At 38.1% G+C, this 27,496-nt stretch overlaps 1 protein-coding gene, 1 long non-coding RNA gene and 1 pseudogene across 2 annotated transcripts, besides 2 other annotated features; 1 reads left to right on the forward strand and 2 right to left on the reverse strand.

Annotated features, from left to right (window-relative positions):
- On the reverse strand, nt 2,833-4,668 carry PTGES3P1 (prostaglandin E synthase 3 pseudogene 1; annotated as a pseudogene).
- Nucleotides 4,440-4,734: an enhancer, noted in NCBI's record as "tiled region #5145; HepG2 Activating non-DNase unmatched - State 9:DNaseU, and K562 Activating DNase matched - State 8:EnhW". NCBI's record gives its function as "activates a minimal TATA promoter and a strong SV40 promoter by Sharpr-MPRA in HepG2 and K562 cells {active_cell/tissue: HepG2 | K562}" and the evidence as "EXISTENCE:reporter gene assay evidence [ECO:0000049][PMID:27701403]".
- On the reverse strand, nt 5,846-25,828 carry GBP2 (guanylate binding protein 2). The gene is made up of 11 exons (NM_004120.5): nt 25,577-25,828; nt 21,491-21,697; nt 20,857-20,984; nt 19,893-20,002; nt 17,291-17,487; nt 16,706-16,948; nt 13,730-14,010; nt 12,186-12,398; nt 9,878-9,980; nt 9,391-9,584; nt 5,846-8,005 (listed from the first exon to the last, which is right to left on the reverse strand). Exons 2-11 carry the CDS (start codon nt 21,678-21,680, stop codon nt 7,889-7,891), a joined length of 1,776 nt encoding a protein of 591 aa, NP_004111.2. The 5' UTR covers nt 21,681-21,697; nt 25,577-25,828; the 3' UTR covers nt 5,846-7,888.
- Nucleotides 17,492-24,945, forward strand: LOC112268267 (uncharacterized). Its single transcript, XR_007066213.1, has 2 exons — nt 17,492-17,756; nt 18,625-24,945. It is a non-coding gene; the product is annotated as an uncharacterized LOC112268267 (long non-coding RNA).
- Nucleotides 21,380-21,674: a silencer, noted in NCBI's record as "tiled region #4932; K562 Repressive DNase matched - State 8:EnhW". NCBI's record gives its function as "represses a minimal TATA promoter and a strong SV40 promoter by Sharpr-MPRA in K562 cells {active_cell/tissue: K562}" and the evidence as "EXISTENCE:reporter gene assay evidence [ECO:0000049][PMID:27701403]".

Raw genomic sequence — 27,496 nt, forward strand, 5'->3', positions numbered from 1 at the left:
GTTTAAGCCACCCAGTATATGGGTTTTTTTTTTCGGACAGCCCTAGTGTTGCAGGACTTTTCCTTAGTTCAGCTAAAGACGGGGTTCTTGTCCACCCCACGGACATGAAAATTTAGGCTTCCAGGAGGTTTAAAGGGTGAGTGAAGCAGGGTTTTATTGGGTGAAAAGGGAAAAAAGAGGGGAAATAGGGACTCTCGCAAAGCCAGAGTCCCTCTGCTAGAGGGCTTTCCGCCAGGCACTTGAATCTGAGGTTCCACCCAGGAAGAGGAGGGGCCAGGCTCGGGCTCCTCCCTGCTGCAAAAGTCCTGAATTTCCCCAGGCTCCACCTCAGCTTGTTGGAGCCTGGCTTGTTGGAGTTTCTCCAGGACCCCCTCCCACCTGGCTGTCTCACTAGCAGTCTAACACACTGACCTATGTGTGACCTATATCAACTTGTAGTCATGTTGGTTAAAATCTGAAATGCTAAATCCTGGATGACAAAAGCTGGTTATGCTTTCCTGGAAAGGGAGCTACAGAATCCTTCTTTCCACAGTAAATCTGAGGGTCAAAAAAAAATTTTTTTTTAAAGGCTGTAAGAGTAGGTTGAAGTCTCCTAAAAGCCAGACCTGAAACATTTCCAACAAAAATTAATTGGGCCGTAATTCAGTCATTCAAACTGATGAAACTATAGGAGATTTTCAGAATAGACTAGAAAATACCTTCCAACATTTGTAAGCTAAGGAAGATGTCCATGTAATAGCTACTCTTTCATCTCATTTCGCCAATGGAGTTAAGCCTGAAATTGGAGACCACATTTGAAAACCAATTAGAATGGAAATAGCCCCTTTATCTGCAGTACAATACCTGGCACAGCATTTTGAAAGGGCTTTAGAACAAAAATGAAGCAGGTTCCAAAATAAACTTGTAGCACTACTAATCCAACAGCTAGGTTACCCATTTTATAACAAGTGACTTGTTGACAAGGACATGTTTGGATATTGTTAATAGGACATAGGAAAGAAGATTGTCCCATCTTACAAGAGAAAAACAAAGATGGAAAAATTCCTAATTCAGATCAATCGATGTTCTCACAAAAACCAGAAAAGGAAAAACCATCCAATATTCTGCCTTATGCTAAACATTCACAGTAAATACAATACTAATATAGATGGTCAACTTCATCAATTCCTGGTAAATAAGGTTGCTACTCTTTCTACATTAAACCCTGCCATCTTTGCTCAACCTTTTCTTTGGAGTAAGCGTATTACACAGGTGGTATTTCCAATACTCCACAGATTTTCCCTGTATCTCAGCCCTTAACTGTAACTATTGGGGTTTGACTGCATAAACATTCCTTCCTACCTTGTGATACCACCCCTGCATGTTTAATAGGAAGAAATTTACTTTGCAAATGGAACTACAATATTAAATGCACTTCAAAGGGACTATTTTTTAAGGTTGCAGAGAACACTTCTATTCATAATCAAGTTGTGTCTGCTCAAGATGCAATTTTGCCTTCTCCATTATATTTGATACATATTCCAGATAAGGATCTTGACCTTATATCTGGCTGGATCTTTGTGTTTTTATTTCACCCCTATAATGTCCTGGAGCTTTCCAAGTTACCTTCTGAGAACAGACAATTAGAAGGAAAGATAACAAGAAACTTCTGCAATAGACTAGACAAACTAAATCTGAAAGTCCTGAGTGCAAAGCAGTGGATTAAAACTATAAAGAATTTTCTGGGAGCTGTGCTAGTAGTTGCATTAACATCTTCAAATTTTATTTTTGGAAGAAATCTTAGATACCATTTGTTGTTGTTTTTAAAAGTCCATCATATCATGTGAAATATAATCTCACTTACTTCAGGTTTGGGTGACATTTTGAAAAGCCAAGAATGAGGAGGAATCATATTGTTTTTAAGTCTAACTTCCTCAAATATTTGACATACTCATATTGGAACAGGTTAGTCACTTAGAGATGCAGCAAGTGAAGGAAAGGACATGTCTTATATACTGATGAGTACCTAGCACCAAATTAAGGATGTAGCCTTCCATATGTATTTTGATTAAAAGAATGAAACTGGGAGTGGAGCATGAAGGTCAGAGATGATGTTCTTATTAAAGGCTTTTGAGATGTATTAATAAATTTGCCTCCATCCCTTCACCACCCCCCGAAACAGGTGGAATAAGGCTTTTTAATATTAACTAAATTGAGAGGTGGAAAATGGCATGCTATTTTCATAAGTTTTTAAATATTACTGAGATGAATTATATTTTCATGTAGTAATTTTTAAATCATACTTTCACCTTATAATACATAAGTTTCATTGCAGCATTGAACCCTGGGTTAGTGTTATAATAAAAAGTATATTGCATTCAGGCTGGGTGCAGTGGCTCACGCCTATAATCCCAGTGCTTTGGGAGGCTGAGGCAGGCAGATCACTTGAGGTCAGGAGTTCCAGACCAGGCTGGCCAACATGGCGAAACCCGTCTGTACTAAAAATACAAAAATTATCTGGGCATGGTGATGTGTGCCTATCATCCCAGCCACTTGGGAGGTGGAGGCAGGAGAATTGCTTCAACCCGGGAGGCAGAAATTGCAGTGAGCTGAGATTGCGTCACTACACTCCAGCCTGGGTGACAGAGTGAGACTCTGCCTAAAAAAAAAAAAATATATATATATATATTATATATATATATATTACATTTAGTGCCTATTATACAGTAGATATTGTGTTAAATTCTTTATAGGTATTATTTATGAAATTTAATTTATTCCTCAGTACAAGCTTGTTGATGTAAGTTATCATCCTCATTTTACAGCAAATATACTACTAAGACTTTTTTTTTAAAGTCTTCCAACAGTTTATTAGAAAGAATGTAGGCATTTAAAAAAATCCCCACTGTCATGAACATAAATTGAGGTTTTCAGCCCTGGTATAAGCTGAATCAAAAAAAGAAAAAATCCGGCCGGGCGCGGTGGCTCATGCCTGTAATCCCAGCACTTTGGGAGGCTGAGGGGGGCAGATCACGAGGTCAGGAGATCGAGACCATCCTGGCTAACACGGTGAAACCCCATCTCTACTAAAAAATACAAAAAATTAGCCGGGCATGGTGGCAGGCGCCTGTAGTCCCAGCTACTCGGGAGGCTGAGGCAGGAGAATGGTGTGAACCCGGGATGTGGAGCTTGCAGTGAGCAGAGATCGGGCCACTGCACTCCAGCCTGGGTGACAGAGAGAGACTCTCAAAAAAAAAAAATACAATAGTGTATTAAACATTTTTCACTCATTTGCCATACTGACAATGCAAATACAAATCTGGACTAAATGTACAGACTCTCAAGCAACAATGTACAGCTTTCTTCGTCTTCCATGCTAAGAGATGTAAAAGCTTAAGGGTCAAACAATACCAAATGTACAGGCTTCAAAAACCATCTAAGTTAGGGCATTCTCTAATTTTAGCTAATATACACCTGGAACACTGACAAGTGATCACTTACATAGAATAATGTGAAGTAAATTTTTTGAAAAATAAATTTTAGTGGAACAATCCTGAAGGATAACACCAGAGGAATAGCAGGTTACCAGTAAGGTGTCAGCCAATTTGTTCAGCCACTTTTGAATCCATGTTCTATAATCTAAAATTTAGCTCTCTTTCCCTAAGCTGAGAGCTTCCTATCATCATGTCAGTATCTATATTATGAAGAAAAGGAGACTTAGGTGAGATGTTTTTATTTATCACAACTGCCGCATTAATTGCCTAGGACCTCAACAGCTTCATGAAAGTCTGGGAAATGTTCATGCATAAGGTTATTGCCTTAGCTGACTTAAAATTGCCCCCTACAATGGTACATATCAACCCTTAGTGAAGCCCTTTAAAAAACAAACAGGTTGAAAAATGGGTTAAAGTAGGCAGCTACAGCATCTGCTTTTAGATCAACTCAGGAATTCTCTCAATCATGAAATCTTGCAGAGAAGTTATTTTTCTTTCTCAAAACCCAGGTGATGACAATATTCCTTACTGCAGATCTGGCATTTTTTCATCATCACTGTCTTGTGAATCATCATCTGCTCCATCTACTTCTGGTAAATCTACATCCTCATCACCACCCATGTTATTCATCATCTCAGAGAAACGATCAAAATTAGACATGTCTTCATCTGAATCATCTTCCCAGTCTTTCCAATTATTGAAGTCAACACTAAGCCAATTAAGCTTTGCCCTTTCTTTTGTTAACCTTGGCCATGACTGTCCAGATTCTCCTTTTCGTAAACAACATAAAATTGATCTGTCCGTTCTTTTATGCTTGGAATCGTTTGTATCAATACAGTGAAAAAGATCAATTTCATTTAAATGCTTAAAATTATCACTTCCTCCGAGACAACTGAATGTAAGTTTGGATTTTTCAAAATTTACATTAACATCCTTACTGTCTTCAACACAAAATTCAATGAAGACATAGTGCCTTTGATCGTACCACTTTGCAGAAGCAGGCTGCATTGTGAACGGGGCAGGGGGAGGGGCGAACGGGTGGGCGGGCCTCTCTGGCGGGGTCTGCTGCTATGGAGTCCACTTCTCTCCAGTGGCGACTCAGCGTTTTCTTCCCGGTCGCGGCCTCTTCTCGCTTCCCTCAGGCGACGGCAGCAGTGGCTGGCTCGACCTCGGTCCCCAGAATGCACTGCGCAGACTACTAAGACTTTTAACCACATTTTATGACAGTTCATAATGCCACAAGGTTCTGGCACTTGGTTCAAATGATAACTCACTTTGTTGAAAAAAAGAAGGTTAAATTATGTTTAATAACTGCTCCTTGTTCTTCAAAGTAGGCTAGGAAAGAAAGTGGACTAGAACAATCTGGAACTAAGTATGTGTATCTCTACCTTTCCCCTCCAATTATGAATGTTTGATTATTCATTTTCTAAAATAATAGTACTGAGAGATTGTGTAAGTCTTACACCAAGTTGCATCTGGGGCATATAAGATGAGTTAAAGAGACTGATCAGAATAGATTAGCAATGGAGAACTCTTTTGAGAGACTTATTGGTGTGCATTGATATCCACCCTCTCTTTATCTCTGCTCATTTTCCCCATAGGGCAATGAGAGGTGCTTCTTTCTTACTATCTTTACAAACTAAGTAGCATTGGGCACTTAAAAGATCCTCTTGAAAAGCTGATATGTGCTCTTTGGGGTTTGGGGACACTAGTACTGGTGCCCAACTTATGCCTAAAAACATCTAAAAGTGATAGTCTGGGATGGAATGGTTTGTGGCAAAATAGGAAAGAAAAGAGAGTTGGGGGAATCCTGTTCCTACGGTGTATGGCTAAACTGGTGCGCATGAGTTTTTCTCATGGGTATAATCACTGGGGTGTTCTGGACTTGGGTCATATTGAAGGAAATCCTGCACAAGATGTCAACATGTCAAGAGGCATTGATCTCAACACCAAGAATATATTGAATGAGTGGATCTCTAGAAGAGAGAATTTGAGGAAAGGAATCAGAAGTGGACTACAATAGGGACGTGCTATTGGGAGGTCCTGGCAAGGGGGATCAGCAAAGAACCCAAATCATCCTTAAGGACTTAAGCCACCACCAGAAGGTGCCAACACCAGATCAGTTATGTATCATGTAAGGTTTCTTTTCCTTAATTCCCTGCACTCTAGTGTTAACAACTTGAAGGTATCATCAACATGAGCTAGTGTACCCAGTGGGAGGGAGAGCTGGAAATGAAAATAAAAAGTCGTACACCTTTCTCACTGTGTGCCTGTAAGGCTGAATCAGGCCTGGGCTGTGTGACTGAGTGGAATCTGAGGGGGAGCAAGATACAAGGGGAGGAACTTTAAATCAAAACTCAGACATTTAAAAATTTAGGTCAAATGTTATTTTTTTTTTTAGAAAAAGAGACTATTCATTTATCTGAGAGTGACTAATGAACAAACAGGAAAGAAATGTTCCGATTAAGTAAAAGGGGAATTGTAAGAAAGAATAAAGTTGCTTTTTGCTTTCACAGAACTAGATACAAAATACTAACTGTTTGAAAGGTAAGAGCAATAACTAAACTGAGGCATAAACAAGATAGATCTTAAATACAAATGAACTAATATGTTAAATTGTGTTCCCAGGGTTGGGGAATAGGGAGTACCTATTCTATAGTCCTATTAAGTCTTTCTTAAGTATCATTGTTAAAAACTAAGAATAACTTAAAGAATATTAACAAAGTGCATGACATGAAACAACAGTGGAAAGATTAAAACAACATTGAAAAATAATGACAAAAAAGATGAGAAGAGTGTTGTATCTGATGTACACAAAAATACTAACTCAAGTCTTAGGTTATTCCTACTATAAGATTTATCTCCATACATCTGCATGGAAAAACTGGTTGACTAAACATACAGGAAAATTTCCCACGTTATTAGTTTCTTCCTCCAAAAGTAGAAGACAAAAATACTCTAATTCTCAGACTTTCCCATGGGTAGGCATATGATTTAGATTCTTCCCTGCAGATTGACTTTTGTGAGGCTTAGCTGGAGATGTGAGCAGCTCAAAGATGCAACTTTTCATGGGGTAGGGGAGTATTTGTTTACTGAAAATGTGAAGGTGGTGGCATCCATTTACTCATAGCTGACACTGCAGAAGCTTCCAGCATTTCATCCAGAGATCATGGTGCTGGTTCATGGTAGCTGTGTTGTTTTCCCGTGAGATGCCTTTACAATGGTAGTATTATCCTCGGTGGAATAGCTGTAGAGTATGGCTCCCTCACAATTCTGGAGCATCGGTGTGCAACCTAATGGTATTAAAAAGTAAATTACTTTTTACTTAAATTGCTGAGCAGATTGTTATTTGCCATGAAGAACTCTGAATAATACACATCCTGAAACAATTGTAGTAGGATAATGTTTTGTATTAATGAATTATTCTTGATTTTTCAATCTGTCATTTTTTTTTTTTTAGTAAGTCATTTACCCTGAGTAGCTTTGAGGATATAATGTCATAGCAGAGGAGCAGAGAGAAAAATGCAGTCAAGTTTTAGGCTTTATAGGATTATAGTCCTGGTCCTCAGAAGAATGGAAAGTAATTTGAGTTTGAGTTAAAGCTTTCCTTTCTGTGATTGTAGAAGTTATTTTCTAAACTTCAGGAAAGAGAAAAGACTAAGGGAGACTAGAGAAGAGAGATCTAGGTGGCCTGGGAATGGGGCAGTAATTACCTAGAGGGTTTACATGGACAGAGAAGGTGGAGCCTCTACTCATAAATGCATTCTGCACAGAGGCAACCACTTTCTCTGCTAGTGCCCACAGATCATGCAGCCTCCACCCAAATGAGAACTGTGCACTGTCTGTACTTTAAAAGCCTAGTTAAGTGTCCCAGATCTCCTTTATTTGCAGCCAGCATGCCATACAAAGACCACTTGGCAGGAGTGATGCTCTACTGTGCCCCATGGTTTGTTTGGTCTCATCACATTTTCATCATATTCACAACACTTCAGCCCTATGCTACGACCATAGTTAAATCCCTGAATAAGAGTATAGGACTGAATATACAGTAAGGGTGGTGCATATGAGAGAAAAAAATCTACCCAGAACAGAAACTGCAAGATATCTCATTGGAAAATGCATCCTAGTTACACAATATCTCTCTTGAGTCCTTGTGTATGATTTCAAATATAGGATTTAGTTAAAGATCATATTAAAAGTTAGTACTATAAATAAGCATGAGTTGAATTGCTCTGTAGGTAAAACATTGACCTCATACTTAACCTTTACTTTGCAAACTTTATGGTTCAACAAAAATGCATGCATCATGATTTTGAGTTAAGTTTAATGGCAGTTGTTTGACACTCTGAAGTTGCTCATTCATGTTGTTTCTTGGGGAGAGGGAGCTGGACAGGCAAATTTTGCTCCTTGGACTTTTAGAGTATGTTACATATTGGCTCCAATGATTTGCTTCTCATCTGGATATCCCATATGTCTTTTTGAAGTCTCTTGCTCTCATTCTCGAATCCCTCCTTGAGAAGGCGTTCCTGTTCCTAAAAGGGAAAGTGGAGACTAAGCCTATCCAGCTTAACACATTTCCACCAGATTAGTTCCCCTTTTGGTACTTATATTGATCCTTCAAGAATTTTTGACTATCACTCTCTTCTGAGTCTCCTATACCTGCCAATAATTTTTCTATGATTTTTTTAGCTTCAAAAATGTTGTTGTTCTACAGTTTCTAAAATATTAGTGACCCAGCGTTTTATTCCTTGGTCCCTTCACCATTTGCACTCATGCAACACAGTCTTTCTGGAAAAACCATAACTTTCTCTTGTTCTTTTTGTTGTTGTTGTTCATTTCTGATCTATATAGAATGGACTCTTAAATATATATCTAGGAAGGTATGAAAGATAGATGATTTCCAATTGGTAGGTTACTATATAACTCAAGACTAGGGCAAGTGTTTGATCAGGGAATTTAGTACAGGTCTCCAAAATTCGGAGGTAACAGAAATAAATTGAGGAGATCAGGGCTTACAGTGGCCCATAGGCTATTTCTGGGCAAACGTAAATGTGGAAAAGAGCCCAGAGAACAAGAAAGTATTGGCACCATGGGCACTTAACCAGTGTGCTTAAGTGGGTAGATGGTTAGGGAATCTTTCTTTTTTTTTTTTTGAGATGGAATTTGACTCTTGTTGCCCAGGCTGGAGTGCAATGGCGCCATCTTGGCTCACTGCAACCCCCGCCTCCCAGGTTCAAGCGATTCTCCTGCCTCAGCCTCCTGCATAGCTGGGATTACAGGCATGCGTCACTATGCCCAGCTAATTTTGTATTTTTGATAGAGACGGGGTTTCTCCATGTTGGTCAGGCTGGTCTTGAACTCCCGACCTGAGGTGATCCGCCCCCGTCGGCCTCCCAAAGTGCTAGGATTACAGGTGTGAGCCACTGCACCTGGCCTGGTTAGGGAATCTTTCTACTCATAACAGTGCTTCCAGACATAAAGTCTTAGCAGGCATAACAGAAACAAAATCCCCATGGATCCCTCTCAGTAGGAAAGACTGGCTAGATATTTCTCTAGGTAGTCTGATGCAGAAAAGTTACTTACTGCTCATGAGATTATAATTACTTCATTTAGCAAATGAGAAACTAATAGTTCCTCTACCATTAAAGGAAAATTTGATCACATAATGTAAAATACTTGTGCAGTGCCTAGCAATGTTTATTAGTGATAGCATAATAAAGAATTCCATGTGATTGTATCCTGCAAGTAAACAGTCTTTACTAACCAGAGATGACTGGCATAAAAATAGTTAGGGAAGGAAAAATGTAGTAGTGTCTGGGCTAGAAAGTTTTTTTGGGAGGCATTAGGTTCTCAACCTTATACTTCATTTTCGATATGGGGCACTGGAAGAGAAAATTGAGATGATGCAATTGAATACCTGAAGTTTAAGAGCGAGGGTCTTCTCTTGCTCTGCCATTAACTGGGCCCTGTCCCTCTCCATCTTCTCAGTCAATTGTTTCACATGTTCCTGATAACTCTTCTCTTTCTGTTCCATCATCTCCTCATTCTTCTTTTGTATTTCCTCCAACATTTTCTTTGCAGCTTCTGCAGATTCAGCCTTTATACGTTCCACTGTGGAAGAAAAATAAGCAGAAAAAGATATGAATATTCAATTGTAGGTGTTCCCTTTTCCTTTCCCTCGTTTTTGTTTGTCTTATCCTTACATCATTGAGAAAACTTCTTGTAATTTTGCCTTGGGTAACCAGAAAACCAATGATCATACAGATTAGTTAAGAAAACTCTCATAGAACTATGAATGATACTTGCCATTCTTTCTCTACAATAATAATTCCAGGTGGACCAATATTGCTAACTAACATTTTGAGAGCTTTCCGACCATGTAGAGTGTTTTCAGCTGTTCTCACCTTCAATCGCTTTTTCCTTTTCTGAGAGTGACTGATCAGTCTGTAGAAGTGCATCAGCCACATCCTCCTTGGACTCCAAATATTTTTTCAGCACCTCTTTGGCCTGGTTATACAGAGAAAGGTAGAATGAAGAAAGAGTGATTGTGGGTTAGATCCAGCAATCCCACCACTGGGTATCTACCCAGAGGAAAATAAGTCATTACACAAAAAAGATACTTGCATACGCATGTTTATAGCAGCACAATTCGCAATTGTAAAAATATGGAATGAGCCCAAATGCCCATCAATTAATGAGTGGATAAAAAATTGTTTCATATATATGTAAAACATATAATACCCCCCCACACACACCATGGAATACTACTCAGCCATAAAAAGGAAAAAGACAATGGCATCCATAGCAACCTGGATGGAACTGCAGACTATTATTCTAAGTGAAGTAACTCAGGAATGGAAAACCAAACATCCTATGTTCTCACACATAAATTGGAGATAAGCTATTATATGAGGCCACAAAGGCATAAGAATGATACAGTGGACTTTGAGGACTTGTGGGAAAGGAGAGGGGGCAAGGGATAAAAGACTACACACTGGGTACAGTGTACACCAAAATCTCAGAAATCACCACTAAAGAACTTATTCATGTAACCAAACACCACCTGCTCCCCCCAAAACCTATATGAAATGAAATAATTTTAAAAACTCTACAATATCTCTAATGAAAATTGATGCAAAAGTCCTCAATAAAGTACTAGCAAACCAAATTCAACAATACATTAAAAGGATCACTCATCATGACCAAGTGGGATTCATCCCTGGGATGCAAGGACGGCTCAACATATGCAAATCAATCAATGTGATAAATTCTATCAACAGAATGGACAAAAACCATATGATCATTTCAATTCAAGCTGAAAAAACATTTGATAAAATTCAATATCCCTTCATTAATAAAACATTAAAAAAACTGGGTATAGGTGGAACATACCCCAACATAATAAAATCCATGTATGACAGACTCACAGCTATTATCATACTGAATGGGAAGAACAACAAAAATACTTTCCTCTGACATCTGGAATACAACAAATATGCCTACATTTACCACTGTTATTTGCCATACTATTGGAAATACTAGCGAGAGCAATCAGTAAAGAGAAAGAAATAAAGGGCATCCAAGTTGGAAATGAAGAAGACAAACTCTCCTTTATTGCAGATGGTATGATCTTATATTTGGAAAAATCTAAAGATTCCACACCAAAAAAACTATTAGAACTGATAAACAAAAATAAGATCTGTTATTTGCAAGAACGTGGAACTTGAGGTCATCATGCTAAATGAAATAAGCCAGGCACAGAAAGAAAACCATTGCATGTTCTCACTTATTTGTGGGATTTGAAAATCAAAACAATTGAATTCATGAAGATAGAGAGTAGAAGGATGGTTGTCAGAGGCTGAGGGGGTAATGGGGTGGTGGGGGGAGGGAGGTGGGGATGGTTAATGGGTAAAAACAACTAGAAAGAATGAATAAAATCAAGTATAGCACAACATACTTGAGAGCATAAAACTTGATGGCACAAAAGGGTGACTATAGTCAATAATAATTTAATTGTACACTTTAAGATAACTAAAAAAGTGTAATTGGATTGTTTGTAACACAAAGGATAAATACCTGAGTCGACAAATACCCCATTTTCAATGATGTGATTATTGTGCATTTCATACTTATATCAAAACATCTCATGTACCCCATAAGTATATACACCTACTATGTACCATATGTACCCACAAAAGTAAAAAAATAAAAAAATTACAAATTTCGGATATTAGTAATACATATTTTATAGAATTGCTCTGAGTATTAAATGAATAACGCTCTCAGCCCAGTTCCTGGAACACAGTAAGTGCAACATAAATGTTAACTGTTATTATTATTTGTTCATAAGCTATCATTTGCTAATTGCCTGTGTGTACTTTGACAGAGCTTGAACTTTTTTTTTTAACTGCCGTATCCCCAGCAACTTGACAAGTTCCTGGTATACAGTTAGGTCAAAATAAATAATTGTTGAATGACTAGATGAATAAATAAATGAGTCAATTCGATAAACCTCTTTTTGAGGGCTACATCTGTGCTTCTGAGGAGGAATTCCTGTTATGGTGGGCTCTCTTATTGAATGAATCAGTAAATGGAAAAATGAAAGGCAGAGGCCCTAGGCACCAGTTGCAGTGCCATTTACCTTCTTCCCAGTGGGCTTTAAAAGCATCCCCTCAGCGAGTCCCAAGAAATGGTACCCACCGTGTAGTTTACCTGTATCCCCTTCCTTGGCACCTGGTAGTACTTATTCTTCAGCTCCTGCAGCTTCTGAGTAAAGAGACGGTAACCTCCTGGTTTAGAAAATGTTCCCTGCTTGACATCTTCTTCTAAAGGGCCAAATATATCCTGAAGTAAAGCCATGCAACAATCTGATGATGCTTTGGAATTCTGCTTACAAAAGTCATCTCGCCTTGCTTCCAACTGGGCCTGTGAAGTGACAAAACAGCACAGATGTTTCAGTAAAGCCATGAGGAGGATGTTAACTATGTGGAGACTGGAAAATGCTTCTCCTTCAGAAATTGTGGCCCTCTAAATAGGGCCATGCTCCTCACATTGCTGTTAGATCCTAGAATATCCCTAAGTTGTGCTTATTGCAGAAATTTATCTACTTCTCTGTTTGTGATTTCCTAAAGCTCCTTTCTCCCAGTTTTCCTGTTTCAGAGAATGATTCTCAAAGCACATACACTATTTCATACGAAACTTTTATCTTTCCAAGTCTCTCATTTCAGGAATAGTTCTGAGCACAAACACTGGAGTCAGGCAGCCTGCCTGGAGTTCCCGGATACACTACACTGTGGCTTGTGACACTCAGTCTTTGTGAACTGAGGATTCCTTGTCTGTGCAGCAGAGGAACAATACCTATCTCACAGATTTCTCTGCAGGGTTATATGAGGTGATGTAAAGTATTAAGCCCGGGGACTTTTTAGAAGTGCTCAGTAAGGAGTACATGATTATTTAGTACATTCTTTAACATAAGAATATTTTTGTGTATTTTCTCAGCATAGGGCTAATGAAAGTAATGAAGATTGTGCCATAGGTATTTTCAGTATTTGGAAAGTCTCATAGAACAGCACATTTATCTACATTAAATCACTCAAGATAACTTAACTATGAAGCTTTCTCTTTCCTCCTTAGGTTGGAAGGGTGACAATTGCTGACATCGGCTATCTAGCTTCACCAGAACCTCTGACTGTAGCAACGTATCATTTATAAGATCCTGCCTTCCTAGCTAGGGAAAGGACTTTCATTTGTCAAGTGGTCATTCTGCATGCAAAAATACTTTGTTCACTTGGAATGAGGCAGACATTAAAAACATTCTCTAATAAAATTTATATAATTAATTTCTCTTTCTTGGCCTTCTGAATATTTTACCATTGGCTCACATTTAAAAAAATTATTAGGGTTATTTAAAAATAATTTAGTCCCCACTGATAATTACCAGGGAACATAAAAACAATGTATTTTTTAATTTAAAAGGACAAAATAAGTTAAAATAGTCTTTAACAATGCAGTTGTACCATCTACTTACTTTCTTAAAATATGGGACCCAGAGAGGAAAAACTAACAAAAGCAAATTTTAGTAAAAAATTAGGTGTCTTTTTTTAAAGGTCTAAGGCTATGCACATTCTAGTCTTTTAATGATTATTTCAAATATGTACACATAACTGAGTGTAACTATTTTGGGGTCTAGAAAGAATTATTTTCCCATGAAGGGCCCATATTTTTCTGCCTCTCATGACGTAGAACACCAAATATACCCCTAATTTCCTCTGGAACATTTGGTCCACATCCTTGAAAGAGTTCTTCATGAAGACTTCAATGGCCTCTCTCTCACTGTCCCTGTGCAGGTCCAGCAGCTCCTGGAGGGTTTCCGTGGGCAGCTGCACCTTCTGGCCCATCTGCTGTTCATAGTGGGCAATAGCCTTTTCCACTGCGGCTGAGTTCTCTATCTGGGCCAAGGCCAGGACTGCGTTCTCCATGCAGGGTAGATCCCCACTGCTGATGGCATTGACGTAGGTCAGCACCAGGCTCTCTAGACCTGCAAAAGGGAATTTTTAAAAAAATGTGACTATCAGTTGGTGGGACAGAATATTTTGTGTGCTTTTCAAGTGAGTGTCACAAATAATACTTTTAAATAAGTTTTGGATAAAGAATAGTAATGGAATAATTTGTTAACCTCTAATCACAGAGGAAATTGAAGTGGCTCTTTCCTATTTCCTTCACCCAAAAGGAAGATATTGAAATGAATAGGTTAGGATATTTTGGGGCTGAGATACTAGGTCAATGTGTTTTCTTACCTTTCTTTTCTCTCACCTCTCCCTCTATTCCCTTTCTCTCTTCACTACTAATTTATGAAAAAAGTCAATGAGAAAACTTAGCCTTTTTATTTTTATTAATTTTAGTGGTGCAGACCACTAGTCACTAGTCTGGTGTCTGGCTTAGGTAAATATGTCTTCTTAGATATTCTCTCATCAGAACTACAGATAGGATAATCAACTCATCGAGTTTGCCAGGGCTTTGCTGGGTGTAGCACTGAAAGTCTCACATGCCAGGAAAACCTCATCTTAGGCAAACTGGAGTGGTTGATCACACAACAAAAGATGATTCTTTTTGACTCAATCCTGGACCTTCTCATCTCTCTGCGGTTTTAAGTACCATCTGTATGGATGGCTGGTGTATTTTGTTTCCTGCTTTGACATTTCTTTTAAGCTTTGGATTAAAAATAAGTTTTGCACCTTATTTTTAATGCCTATCTTATATTCCTTACTGCATAAATCAGAAGAATCTCAATATTAAATAATCTAAATATCAAAACTTCATCCACTCTGAAAAACTATTTCTCCTCTTGATGCTACTATCTCATTAAATAACACAGCCATTCAAGCAATTGCTAAACTCGAAACGCTGGAGACAGGCTTGGCATTTCCTTCTTATTCCCTTCATAAATCCATATTCCCTCTATCAACAGGCCTTTTAGATTTAATATCCAAAGTATGTTCGGATCTTGTCCATTTTCACCATTTTCACTGTCATAATCTGAGACTAACCCAATGCCCATTTATGGCTCAACCACTGCAAATAGCATCCATCCTCTCATTCCCTCCCTTTCACTACTCCAACAAATTATCTACAAAATATTCAGAAAGATATGTATAAACATAAATTAGATAACCTTACCTCACTGCCAAAAATTCTTCAAGATCTTCTCTAGAGCTTAGACAAACTCTAATCTCCTCAAAGTCCTCTGCCAGTCCTTTCAAGACCTGACCCCTTTATACCCCTCCAATTATGACACCACTCTTATTCAGTCTTCTCTTGTTCCAATCGCCTGTCTTTCTTCTATTTTCGTTTAAAAAATTGAGATGGAATTCTGGTCTGTCACCCAAGCTGAAGTGCAGGGCATGATCATAGCTCACCATAGCCTTGAACTCCTGTGCTCATGCTGGGTCCTCCTGCCTCAGCCTCCTGAGTAGCTAGGACTCTGGGCAAGCACCACTGCACTTGGCTGATTTTTAATTTTTTCATAATGATGAGGTCTTGCTACTTTTCCCAGGCTGGTCTTAAACTTAAACTCCTGGGCTCAAGGAATTCTCCCACCTTGGCCTCCCAAAATGCTGGGATTACAGGCATTAGCCTCCTGTGTTCTATTTTCTTGAAGTTGCAAAGTTCTATCCTGCCCTATGCATTTCCACATTACATTATTTGCTATAAAGCTATTCCTCTATATGCTTTGGTTAGCTCTTAACCATTTATTTAATATATATATATATTGGAGACAGGGTCTCACTCTGTCTCCCAGGCTGGAGTGCGGTGGTGCAGTCTCCGCTCACTGCAACCTCTGCCTCCCAGGCTCAAGTGATCCTTCAGACTCAGCCAGCTGAGTAGCTGGGATTACAGGTGTTAGCCACCATGCCTGATTAATTTTTGTGTTTTTAGTAGAGGAAGGGTTTCCCCATGTTGCCCAGGCTGGTCTCAAACTCCTGAGCTCAAAGTGATTCACCCACCTCAGCCCCCCAAAGTTCTGGGATTATAGGCATTAGCCACCGTGCCCAGCCAACTCAATCATTTTTAAGTTCTCATCTTACAGGTGACTTTCACAGACAAGCATTCTCTCACACTCTAAATTATATCTCCCTGCCTCTCCCTTTACTCTTTCATAGCAGCCTATTATTTTTATGCATTGTGTTAACCACTATTTATCATTATACTTTTTTTTTTTTTTACTTTTTACAGAAGTATCTTTTGCTCCTATTATGCTGGAATGAGGATAAAAGTCACATTTCTTTTATCCATCATTATACTCAGTGGTTGGTACATTACATTATAGGCATTCCCTAAATATTTTAGAATTGCTGAACAAGAGAATTGTACTGCAGTTAGTTAGTGGCAAAGTCTCACTTACATATAGTATTTGCTTTTTTCTTTGTTGCTCAGTATATATATCCTGGATGTTTATTTGATAAAGAGGGAGCTGAGAAGTTGGTGGAGAAGTTTACCATAATAGAATTCAATTCTAGTTCTTTTCTTTTTTTATTCTCCTTGCAAGGAATATGAGATGATACTATAGCTTTAGTTTTCATGTAAAATTTATAATATGATTTTCATGTTGTATTTTCCTTGCCATCAATAGACTATGCATTTGTCAGAAGTGACCCTTATGCTTTCCATTTTATCCTCTACAATGGGCAGAAGGAGAAAGTCCAGGTAGGAAGTGGGTAGAGAGAGTGACTCACGAGGCCCATTGACTGGAATGCCACCTGAAAGAGTCTTGACATTGGAATGGCTGAGGATGTAGGAACAAAATTCTGCAACTTGTTCTATGAAATCAGGGTTCAGCTCTTCCTCCTTTAGCTGCTCTAGGTGAGCAAGGTACTTCTTAGGAGCGGGCCAATCGAAGACGAAGCACTTCCTCTTGGGGAAGAACTTTCGGATGCACAACCGAGGATCATTAAAGCTTTTACTTTTCTTATCAGTACCTACAGGAATGAAAATTAGAAGTAGTAAAACTTCAAATTAATTACTTCAAATATGATCTTTCAATTTTATAATTTTCACAAAGCCCATGTAAGGAGGAAATTTATTAGGAAGAAGAAATAAAAAATTAAAGGGGTAGAGAAAGGAAAGTCTCCAAGAAGAGGTAGGTAATGCAATTTAAAATTGGTTCCAACTGATATAGTCAAGCAATGTTTCCATTTCCTCTAGCAGAACAGTCAGAAAAATACAGTTAAAAATTATAATTTTTAGCACTGCACAGAAATGGTTATTTTGATATTATTTGCTCTCTATTTATTACCCAACCAAGCATCAGACCCAGTAACCTTTTCTTAGCTTTAGCGAAAGCTCCAAGTAGTCATCAGCAGTGATGGGTTCTCCATCTACTTCCAGTTCCAGGGTGAAATCTCTGAGAGTCCACACAAATGCTGGAAAAAAGCTCACAAAGTCAGCTGAGTCGTCTACAGAATTGTTACCAGGTGAGGAGTTTGCCTTGATTCGATCTGTCAGCTCTGTCACATAGCTGAGATGCTAAATTAAGAAAACTACAGAAAATGCCACTCTTTATACTACATTTTATCCTAATGCTTACCTAAAATAATTTGGTTTCTTTTTATTAGCTCATTCATTCATTCACAAACATTTATTTACAGAATTCATTCACTCACAAACATTTATTGAGCACCTACTATGAACCAAGCACTGCCCTAGGGACTAAGAACGCTGTAATGAATGAGACAATGCTACCACTATAGAGCTTACATTCTAATGATGGAGACAAACAATGAACAGGTAAACAAAAATAAATTATCAGGTATTGATAACAATTGTCTTGAAGGAAAACGAACTGGGCAACTAGCTCCTAATGTATTTTTAGAAACTAGCAACCAATAGACATTCATCTAATACTCTGGTGTCTCCCAAATCTACCAATAAGGAAAGCAGAGAATAATTGTGTGTATCTGCATGTGGTGCTGGTTCATGTAGTTTTCCAGGTAAATTATCTCTGACATTGTAGTTGAGCAGTGATCTGAATGAATTGAAGAAACCAGTCATGTACAAATCCAATGGAGGAACATTGCAGACAGAGATCACAGACCCTTCAAGGCCCTTAGATAGGAAATTACTGAGTGTGTACAACATATATCAAGAAATCCAGTGTGGTAGGGCAGAAGCCTTAAAATAAATAGAGGTTGGGATATGCAAGCTCTGTAAACCAAAGTAAGAAGTTTGAAATTTAATAGAAAGTTAATGGGAAGTCATTGGTGGGTATTAAGTGAAGAGAGGATATAGTATCGTTTTTTGTTTTTTAAATCATACTGGCTGGCATTGCATCTGTGAGTCAAGTGTGTATGCCAAAACAAACAAACAAACAAAACTAATACAAAAAGCAATTAGGTAGTTGAAAAGATAACCAAGATGAGAGGCAATGGAGCAAGTAGTGAGAATTGGCTAGTCTAGAGAAATAACTTTGATAGTGGAGCTGAAGGAGTTTGATGATTAATAATTTCCAAAACATAAGGAATGGAATCATCCAAGATGATTCCTAAGTTTTTGATCTGAGCACTTCTATGAATGATGTGGGAATTTATTGTGATTAGAAAGACTGGGAAGGAGTTGTTTTGGACAGGAAAATTAAGTTTTGTTCTGTACACTTTAGGCTCAAGATGTCTCTTACACATCTGAATGGAGATGTTGCACCAGAAGCTGGATACAAAAGTTTGAATTTGCTCATGCTTGGGAATACAGATTTGATGGTGATAAACATATTGGTGCTACTGAAAGCCTTGAAGCTGGATGTGATCATCTGGGGACTGAAAGCAGAAAAAGAAAAGAGGCACAAGAACTTAAGTGTTATAATATTTAGAGGCTAAAAGGAGAAAGAGGATAGAGTAATCTGAAAAAGTCTACCAATAAGGAAGGTGGAAAATTAGGAAATGTGGTATTCTAATAGGAACCAATTCCAAGTGAAACAGGCATTTCAGAAAGGTGGAAGGGATCAAATTTATGTAATGCTCCTAGAGAAATAAAAGGCTTATGGAAGATTGGAAGATCAAATGAGGTGAGAACTGTGCATTACATATAGGAATATGGGGGTGATCTTGATGAAATCTAATTCAGTATAATGCTTGAAACTAAGCTAATGGAAATGGTGAGGTCATTGATAATGAACTAGGTTAAGTAATGTGTGAGAGTGGAGAATGACAATAAGGGTGGAGAGTTCCAATAAGGTGATGGAACTGAGACACCAGGGTGTTAAATAATTGTCTATTGGTTGCTAGTCTCTAAAAAGACACTAGGAACTAAAATCTTTAATGAATGAAGGATGTATTTATTGGAACGTTGCTAGATAATTGCAACAAAAATAGTGGTGTAGTCTGAGGGCATATATATTAAAGAAGATTCTCTTTTTAATGGTAAAGGAATGAGAAAGTGTCCAGAACTCTAATATGGAGCAAGGAGGATACCTAACTCATCTCTTACACTTATGATATGCAAGGTATGGGATTAAAAATAGTCATCACATAAGACCACTGGAGAGGTCTGTAGGAGAAATAGTATCTATAGTGTATAGCTAGGTATCATTTAGAAGGCAACACTTAGAGCAGATGATAAGAATATAGAGAGTTGCAGAAGTGAGAACATGAGTTCTAGAGGACATTGAAGGTTTGGACAGGCATAGGAGATTAAGTCAGATAGAGGATATACAGAGTCTTGGGTGGCTGAGTATCTAACGAGACATGTAACTGGGAAGACTTGAAGTTCAGATGGAGATTGAGATAGAATGAGATGTTCAGCATAATGAGATTTATTAAAGAGAGGACTTATGAATTCTTCAGTACCTGTCTGTCTGCCTCTGTACTTGGTGAAAAAATGAAGCTGTTATTTTCTAGGTTTACTGCTGTTCTGGACCACAAAAAAGGATACTGAAGTTGGTCCATGGCCTGCTGGTTGATGGTTCCCATGCTATTGTACACGAAGGTGCTGCTCAGGAGGATGGCCAAGGCAAAGATCCAGGAGTCATTCTCATTGTCACCCTGTAAGTCATTGTAGAAGCCACAAAGAAGAATGACTAGCAGAATGTACAATCAATTCAGATAGCTGAAGACTGACTGAACTCCAACTCTGTCTCTCATTAGTTCTGAAAACTTAGGTAACTCACTTCCTTATGCAGTATTTTTTTCTACCTGTAGAACAAATTTATAATATTTATGATGTATAATTTAAGGTGTTATATATAAATATATGTCAGCAGGAAACACATGAGCACTTGGTAGGAGAAGCTATTTTGATCAGCTACTAAAATTCAAACTGGTACCCTAAACTTAGTTTATGACCCTATTCCATTTCCATGGCACATCATAGTAAGATATTTTTTACACAGTAGTTAAAATAAGCTCCTTTAATAAAAGCTTTCTATGTCTAAGATTTATAACAGTAGTAATATATTATCCTTAATGAGCAAAGATGTTATCATTAGATTTTACACTTTGCTTCTCTTTCTACTGGTGCTGGTGTGGATGTGAACATTTTTACTACCTTTGTGGGATCCCACTGTAAAAAGTCAGACATGTTTGTAAAACGTCTACTGAAGTTTATAAGCACCTTCAGCAGCCTCACCAAAACATTTTACTATAATATGAAAGAGAAATAACTGAAAACATCATTAGCCATTATTTCATAGGTTTACCCATAATTAATCAATTGAACTTATTGTGTACTCTGAATGCTTATACCACACAAATTTTAAGAAATAATATATTAATATAATTAACTAGAGCCCTAAATCAAGGAGTAGGAGTGATTGTGCAAAGATGGTTATCGATCTGACCTGGTTTATGTAGATTTTAATCTACCTAAGTGAAATTTTTAAAATACTTATTTTTTTTACCTTCTCTATATCTCCCAGGCCCTCAGTGTCGAGCAGAACTAGGGTGTGTTCTGGCTTCTTGGGATGAGGCACACACCACATCCAGATTCCCTTGGTGTGAGACTTCACTGTGGAGCCTAGAGAGAAGCCTGTAGAAGGAGAGGATAAAAGGGAAAAGAAATTACTTAGTAGGTGTTTCTGGAAATTGAGATAAAAGTTAACATAATTGAAGTTAAAAGAGATAAAAGAAAATACAACTGGCATAAATCTTAATTACAATCCTGGAAACAGGAAAATTAGATATTTAATACACACTGAAACATTCATATTTTTCTTAAAGTTCATTGAAAGCTTGCTGTCACTACATGAACATTTTAATAAATGTTTTATAAGTCATTATTATAGAAGTTAATTTTCTTTATTAACATTGTGTTCCTTCCAGAAAGGCACATTTATACCCTTAGTATAAAATAAAAGTAAAGTGGGAAGAGTCAGTTGACTGTAATCCTCCAAAGTCAATGTAAAGAGCCCATTAATGGACTGAAAGTTAGCTTTCAACATTCATTCTCATCTCTTTCTATGCTCACATCCCTAAGCTGGATGTTCGCCGTGTGTACGGACAGAAGGGGCTTAGAGCTTTGCTGGTGTCACTCACCGTTTTTCTTCCCAGCCAGCTTGTTCATCAGGTAGGATTTGCCTGTGCGATAGAGGCCCACAATCGCCACCACCACCACAGGCTGCGTAATTGCAGATAGGATCTTCAGAGCTTCTGGATTCACCACCAGCTGCCCTTTAGTGTTATCAATGAGGCTCATTGGGCCCGGCAAGTTGATCTCTGGAGCCATGTCCAGGGTGTTGTTCCCTTGTGTGCAAGGAAAAAGATGAAATGGAAAGCAGTTTTTAGGTAGTTAGCTATGCTGAACTTTACAATATGGGTTAAATTTTTGTTTTCTATGCTTGAACATTTTTTCATATACGTTTTTTAAAGCCTGGTTTCTCTTTAAGGCTGTCTTACAAATTGGGTCACTGGCTTTCTTTAAAAATAACTTTATTTTGAAATACACTTACAGAAAAGATGTACAATGGGTATGGAAAGTTCCCATATATCATTTCCCCTAAAGTTAAAATTTTCCATAACCATAGAACAAGGATTTTAACATTGGTAGAGTGATAACTAATTTACACTCCTTATTCACATTTCACCAGTTTCCCACTAATGTCCTTCTGCTCCATGACCCAATCCAGGATTCCTCATTGCATTTAGTCATTATGTTTCTGTATTTTCCTTGCATCTTTGATAGTTCCTTATTCTTTCCTTGTCTTTCATGTCTTTGACATTTTAGAAGTTGACTGGCTATGATTTTGTAGAATATCCCTCAATTTGGGTTTTTTGATGTTTCCTTATTATTAGATTGAAGTTATACATTTTTTTTTGCAAATGTCACCAAAGTGATGTTCTGCCATTTTCAGTGTCTTGTATTAAGGGATTCATGATGTTGACATGACTTTTTCTGGTGCTGTGACCTTAACTTTGATCACTTGGTTAAGGTGTTCTCTGCCAGGTTTCTCTACCACAAAGTGTTATGTACCATTTTGTCACTAAAAAGTACCATTTGAAGAGACAGTTTGAAGACTATGCAAATAAAGATTCATCATACTTCCATAATTTTTTCAGTCACTATTTTTAGCATCTGTTGATAATTCTTGCTTATAACTTACTGTGATGTTTGACTAAAAGTAATTTTCTATTTTCATTCCTTCTACATTTATTAGAGTTCTAATGTGAGCAAGAACTGCCCTTTCTCCTCTATTTATTTTATTTACTTATTTAATCATTTAGTTGTATCAGTGTAGATCTATAGTAGATCAGTGTAGATTTATCATATGGGTAACACTTTACTATCACTATTTATCTCATTGCTCAACTCGTCCCAGATTAGTTCACTGAGAGCTCCTTCAAGCTGTAGCCCAGGTACTATGGACGTGCTTCCATCATATTTTCAGTGCGTCTTTCCTTCTGACATTACAATATATGCCAGGCTTATCTAATATTTTTTCTGCTTCAGCCTTAGAATCGACCATTTCTCCCAAGGGCTCTGGTTGCTTTCATTGGATAATGGTAGATAGACAACAAGATTATCACACTAGGTGTAGTCATTACTTCTAGGCCCTCTCAGGTGGAAAGTTAAGAAATCTATGTTTATATACCAGCACATGAATACACACATCTACATTTATTTCTCGTCTATCTGTTTCTATATATAAGCTTAAGTTTCTTCTGATATTTCTAATTCCAATTCAACAAAACAAAACTTATTCATGTTTTCCCCTTGTTTTTAAAATCTTTTCTCTGAGTGTGTCATTATACATAATAAATTTAGTTATTTGCTCAATTCTAGTACATATAATTTGTTTTAAAGTTACTAACTCATAAGTGTTTGAAAGATAAATTTGCTAACTAGAGTGCACTATTAGTTAAAAGTTCTTGTCTTTGGTCTTACACATACAGTCAAAACACTGTATTCCAAAGTTGCTTAGACTACTATTTCCTTCTCCATTCTCTTTGGTGTAGTTAAATTATTTATTTGTAATATAGTTAGGTTCATTTGTTGGTTGATTTTAAGTATGCATTTATTTTTGAGTATGCGAAATATCAGAGTTCTGAAAGTCAGAGCTTTACAACAAGCTGTAGTCAGAGAAGTGTCACTTTCCCTTCATCTTGGCACTGCATTCCCATTCCATCTGTCTTTCTATTCTTTCCACTTCATGCCCACTTATCCTCCATAGATATCCAATCTTGTTAGTTTCTAGTTTACCTTTCTTGGACTTTTTTTCATTAATGAGCATATACATGTATATTTTCTTATTCACATTTTCCAACAAAAAGATCACATCACTTAGAAATATGGGAGTCTTTCCCTATCAGTTCGTAGGAAGATTTCTCAATTCTTTTGACAGGCATCTACTCCATTTATGTGGACATAGCACAGTTTATTCAACCGTTCTTTTATGTATAGACTTTTAGATTGTTTCTAATATTTAGCAATTACAAACAATGCTGCAATGAAAACCTCTGCTAACCTTGTGAGTGTTTATTTTTATATTGCTATAGGAGTAACTTTAGGATAGCATCCTATAAGTGAGATTGCCAGGTCAAAAGGTAAGAGCATTTTATTTTGTTGGATATTGCCAAGTTCCTCTCCAGAAGGATGTATCAGGTTGAATTCCCACCAGATCATCTTGTATCTCACTGTTCAGAAAATGGATTTTTTTTCTAGATATGTCACATTTTCTGACTTAATTACAAAATTTTCTTTGGAAACTTTTCACATTCACGTTTAGATATTTGGACTGAGCAAAGCTGAGCTCACTAAGCTCATGTACACAGTAATAGGAACTTTTACCTGGGGAATCTTGTGTCATACATATCTCCATACTTTGAAACATAGATACCATTCTAACCCAGCCTTGGTCCTGATTTCTTCCAAGCCCCTCTACGGACAGGGTCTGGTCAGACTGTGGGACTCAGGTTACCCAGTGGCTTCTTCCTATCACTATGCAGGAAGCCCTTTGAGCTACCACAGGACATCACTTGTTCTTAATATTTGCTGTGAATCAGCATTCACCTGTTATTCACTCAAGCTTGGTATCTCAAATCTGACATGTAGAAAATCTGCTGATTTTTTACTCAATTATGTTACCAGATTTTAACCTCTCTGTGTTTTAAGACTGATTCTTTATCACCTGCATGTATATCAGTTTGCATATTGCTTTCAGTTATTTCAGGTAATGAAGCCAGCATCAGGAAACATTCTCTGATGAACCAGGGCTTGTTTTTTTCTGACTTCTGCTTCATGGAGAGCAGTATATACACAATTGTAGGCATATCCTGTTTAACCAGGCCTTGATAATTTGATAATTTTGTAAATTTAAAATGAGCAAGAAGCCTTCCTGTAGTAACATCTTAATTTGTGTTTTTGCCTTGAATGTCTCAATCCCTGTAACTTAAAATGATCATGATATAACATTTATAACTTCTTTAACAAACAATCATAGACTGTAAGCATTACAGCTTTCCTTCTTCTATAATAAAGAGTGCTTTGTTTATAATATGGAGTCGATTACTTCTGACTTGCTCTGATGAAGGCTTATATCTAATTATCTGTTTCCCATCCCTTCAGGGGACAATGGCAAAAAAACTATTTTTCTGTGGTCAGGACCCATTTTCTCTTACAACAATGGCTCACAGACACTTCTGGCAAGACTTCTGTTTCATTTTATAGCATGATGTAAACCACCTTAAAATGGGAATCAATCAATGACTGACTCAGAAAAGTAGCTGCACAAAGACTGTATAAGCTCCCTAATTATAATAACGTGTTCCCTCTCTTTGCAGATCCCAAGTTGCCTACCTTCATTTACCTAGAGCTCTACAAGTGGCAATAATGAATGTGATGGAGCCCTAACTTTATTAAGCAGATACTAATAATGATAAAGTTAATTTAAGATAGTGTCAAGAAAGAAATAACAATTTAGAAACATTCCCATCTCTCTATGCTGGAGACTAGTTCACAGCAGGAGCAGAGAGCACTAAGGAACCTGCAGCCACTTGATAGGGCCAGGATAGTATGTGGACTTGTGTCCCACAGCAGGCTCAGCTGCGGCCTGTTGTGGGAATGGTCAATTTAGATAAAACTGATGAACCCTGGTAAATATTTTCCCACCCCTGCCCCAGTCTTACCCAGATCAGAGATCCTTTAGCACTGGAAAGAAGGTTGTTCCAATGTGAAAGTCGAGTCCTTTTCCTCCTCTCTTTTCTTCCGAGTTTGGCTGCACTGCTTTCTCCCTCTTTTTTCTCTCACGGTAACTGTGGACTTTTACTTTACCCCTCCAACGTCCTGGGGCTTCCTCCAACGTCCAGGCTCTGTCAATGTCAGAGACCTGACGAGAGACAAGAAAAAGAGGTAACCTCTGCAAAGAAATGCACTAATATGAAACAAAGTATCAACTAAAGCAGTGACTCATTCACCATAAAAGGAATTGTTGACAGCTGTGCTGGTAAGAGGGTTTGTCATGATTTCTCAACCAGGAACTTTCCACTTTATCATTGGAAAAGATCTTAGAGACTGCTTGCTATATTAAGTTTTAAAAACCCCTTCATTGGGTCATTTAAAATAGTGCTATTTATCTCATGTTTGTGGGCCAGTTTGAGAAGCATGTGGATGAGAAAGCCTCATATAATATTTTCTTAGGTCCAATTACCTTGAATATTAGCTTGAGCACTGTTAAGTGCCCTGAGGGAATATCTATGTCTTATATACTTTTGAATTATCAGCACCTAACCCAGGTCCTGACACTTAACATTTAATAAATAATAAATAATGATGAAGGTAACTCTCATTTATGGCACACTTGATACAGACACAGTGATAACTTCTTTATATAAATCATACCATTGTATTCTTATTTTGTATTTGTTTATTTTTTAGAGACAAGTTCTTGCTCTGTTGTCCAAGCTGGAGTGCAATGACAATCATAGTTCACTCTAACCTCAAACTTCTGGGCTTAAGTTATCCTTTTGCCTCAGCCTTCTGAATAGGTGGGACTACAAATGAGGCATCATACCAGCGTGTGTGTGTGTGTGTGTGTGCGCGCGTATGTGTGAGATATGAAGTCTTACTATGTTGTGAGGCTGGTCTCCAACTCCTGGTCTCAGGCGATTGTTCTGCCTTGTCCTCCCAAAGTGCTGGGATTACAGGTTTGAATCACTGCACCCTTCCCCCTTGCATTCTACAGTAATTTCACCACAATGTTACCAAGAAATTTAACAACTTGTTAATATTACAAAGCTACCAAGTAAGGTTTGAACCCAAGTCTTCCTCTAAAACCCATATTATTGTGTCCGGAATTGGTGGGTTCTCGGTCTCACTGACTTCAAGAATGAAGCCGCGGACCCTAGCGGTGAGTGTTACAGCTCTTAAGGTGGCGCGTCTGGATTCTGTCCCTTCTGATGTTTGGATGTGTTTGGAGTTTCTTCCTTTTGGTGGGTTGGTAGTATTGCTGGCTCAGGAGTGAAGCTGCAGACCTTCGCGGTGAGTGTTACAGCTCTTAAGGCCGCGCATCTGGAGTTGTTTGTTCCTCCCAGTGGGCTCGTGGTCTGGCTGGGCTCAGGAGTGAAACTGCAGATCTTCGTGGTGAGTGTTACAGCTCATAAAAGCAGCGTGGACCCAGAGTGAGCAGTAGCAAGATTTATTGCAAAGAGCAAAAGAACAAAGCACCCACACTGCGGAAAGGGACCCGAGCGGGTTGCCAATGCTGGCTCCAGCAGCCTGCTTTTATTCTCTTATCTAGCCCCACCCACATCCTGCTGATTGGTAGAGCCCAGTGGCCTGTTTTGTCAGGGCACTGATTGGTGCGTTTACAATCCCTGAGCTTGATACAAAGGTTCTCCACCTCCCCATCACATTAGTTAGATACAGAGTTTGGACACACAGGTTCTCCAAGGCCCCACCAGAGCAGCTAGATACACAGTGTCGATTGGTGCATTCACAAACCTTGAGCTAAACACAGGGTGCTGATTGGTGTGTTTACAAACCTTGAGCTACATACAGAGTGCCGATTGGTGTATTTACAATCCCTGAGCTAGATACAGAGTGCCGAT

The sequence above is a fragment of the Homo sapiens genome, chromosome 1 (assembly GCF_000001405.40).
Source record: "Homo sapiens chromosome 1, GRCh38.p14 Primary Assembly".
Classification (NCBI taxonomy): Eukaryota; Metazoa; Chordata; class Mammalia; order Primates; family Hominidae; genus Homo; species Homo sapiens.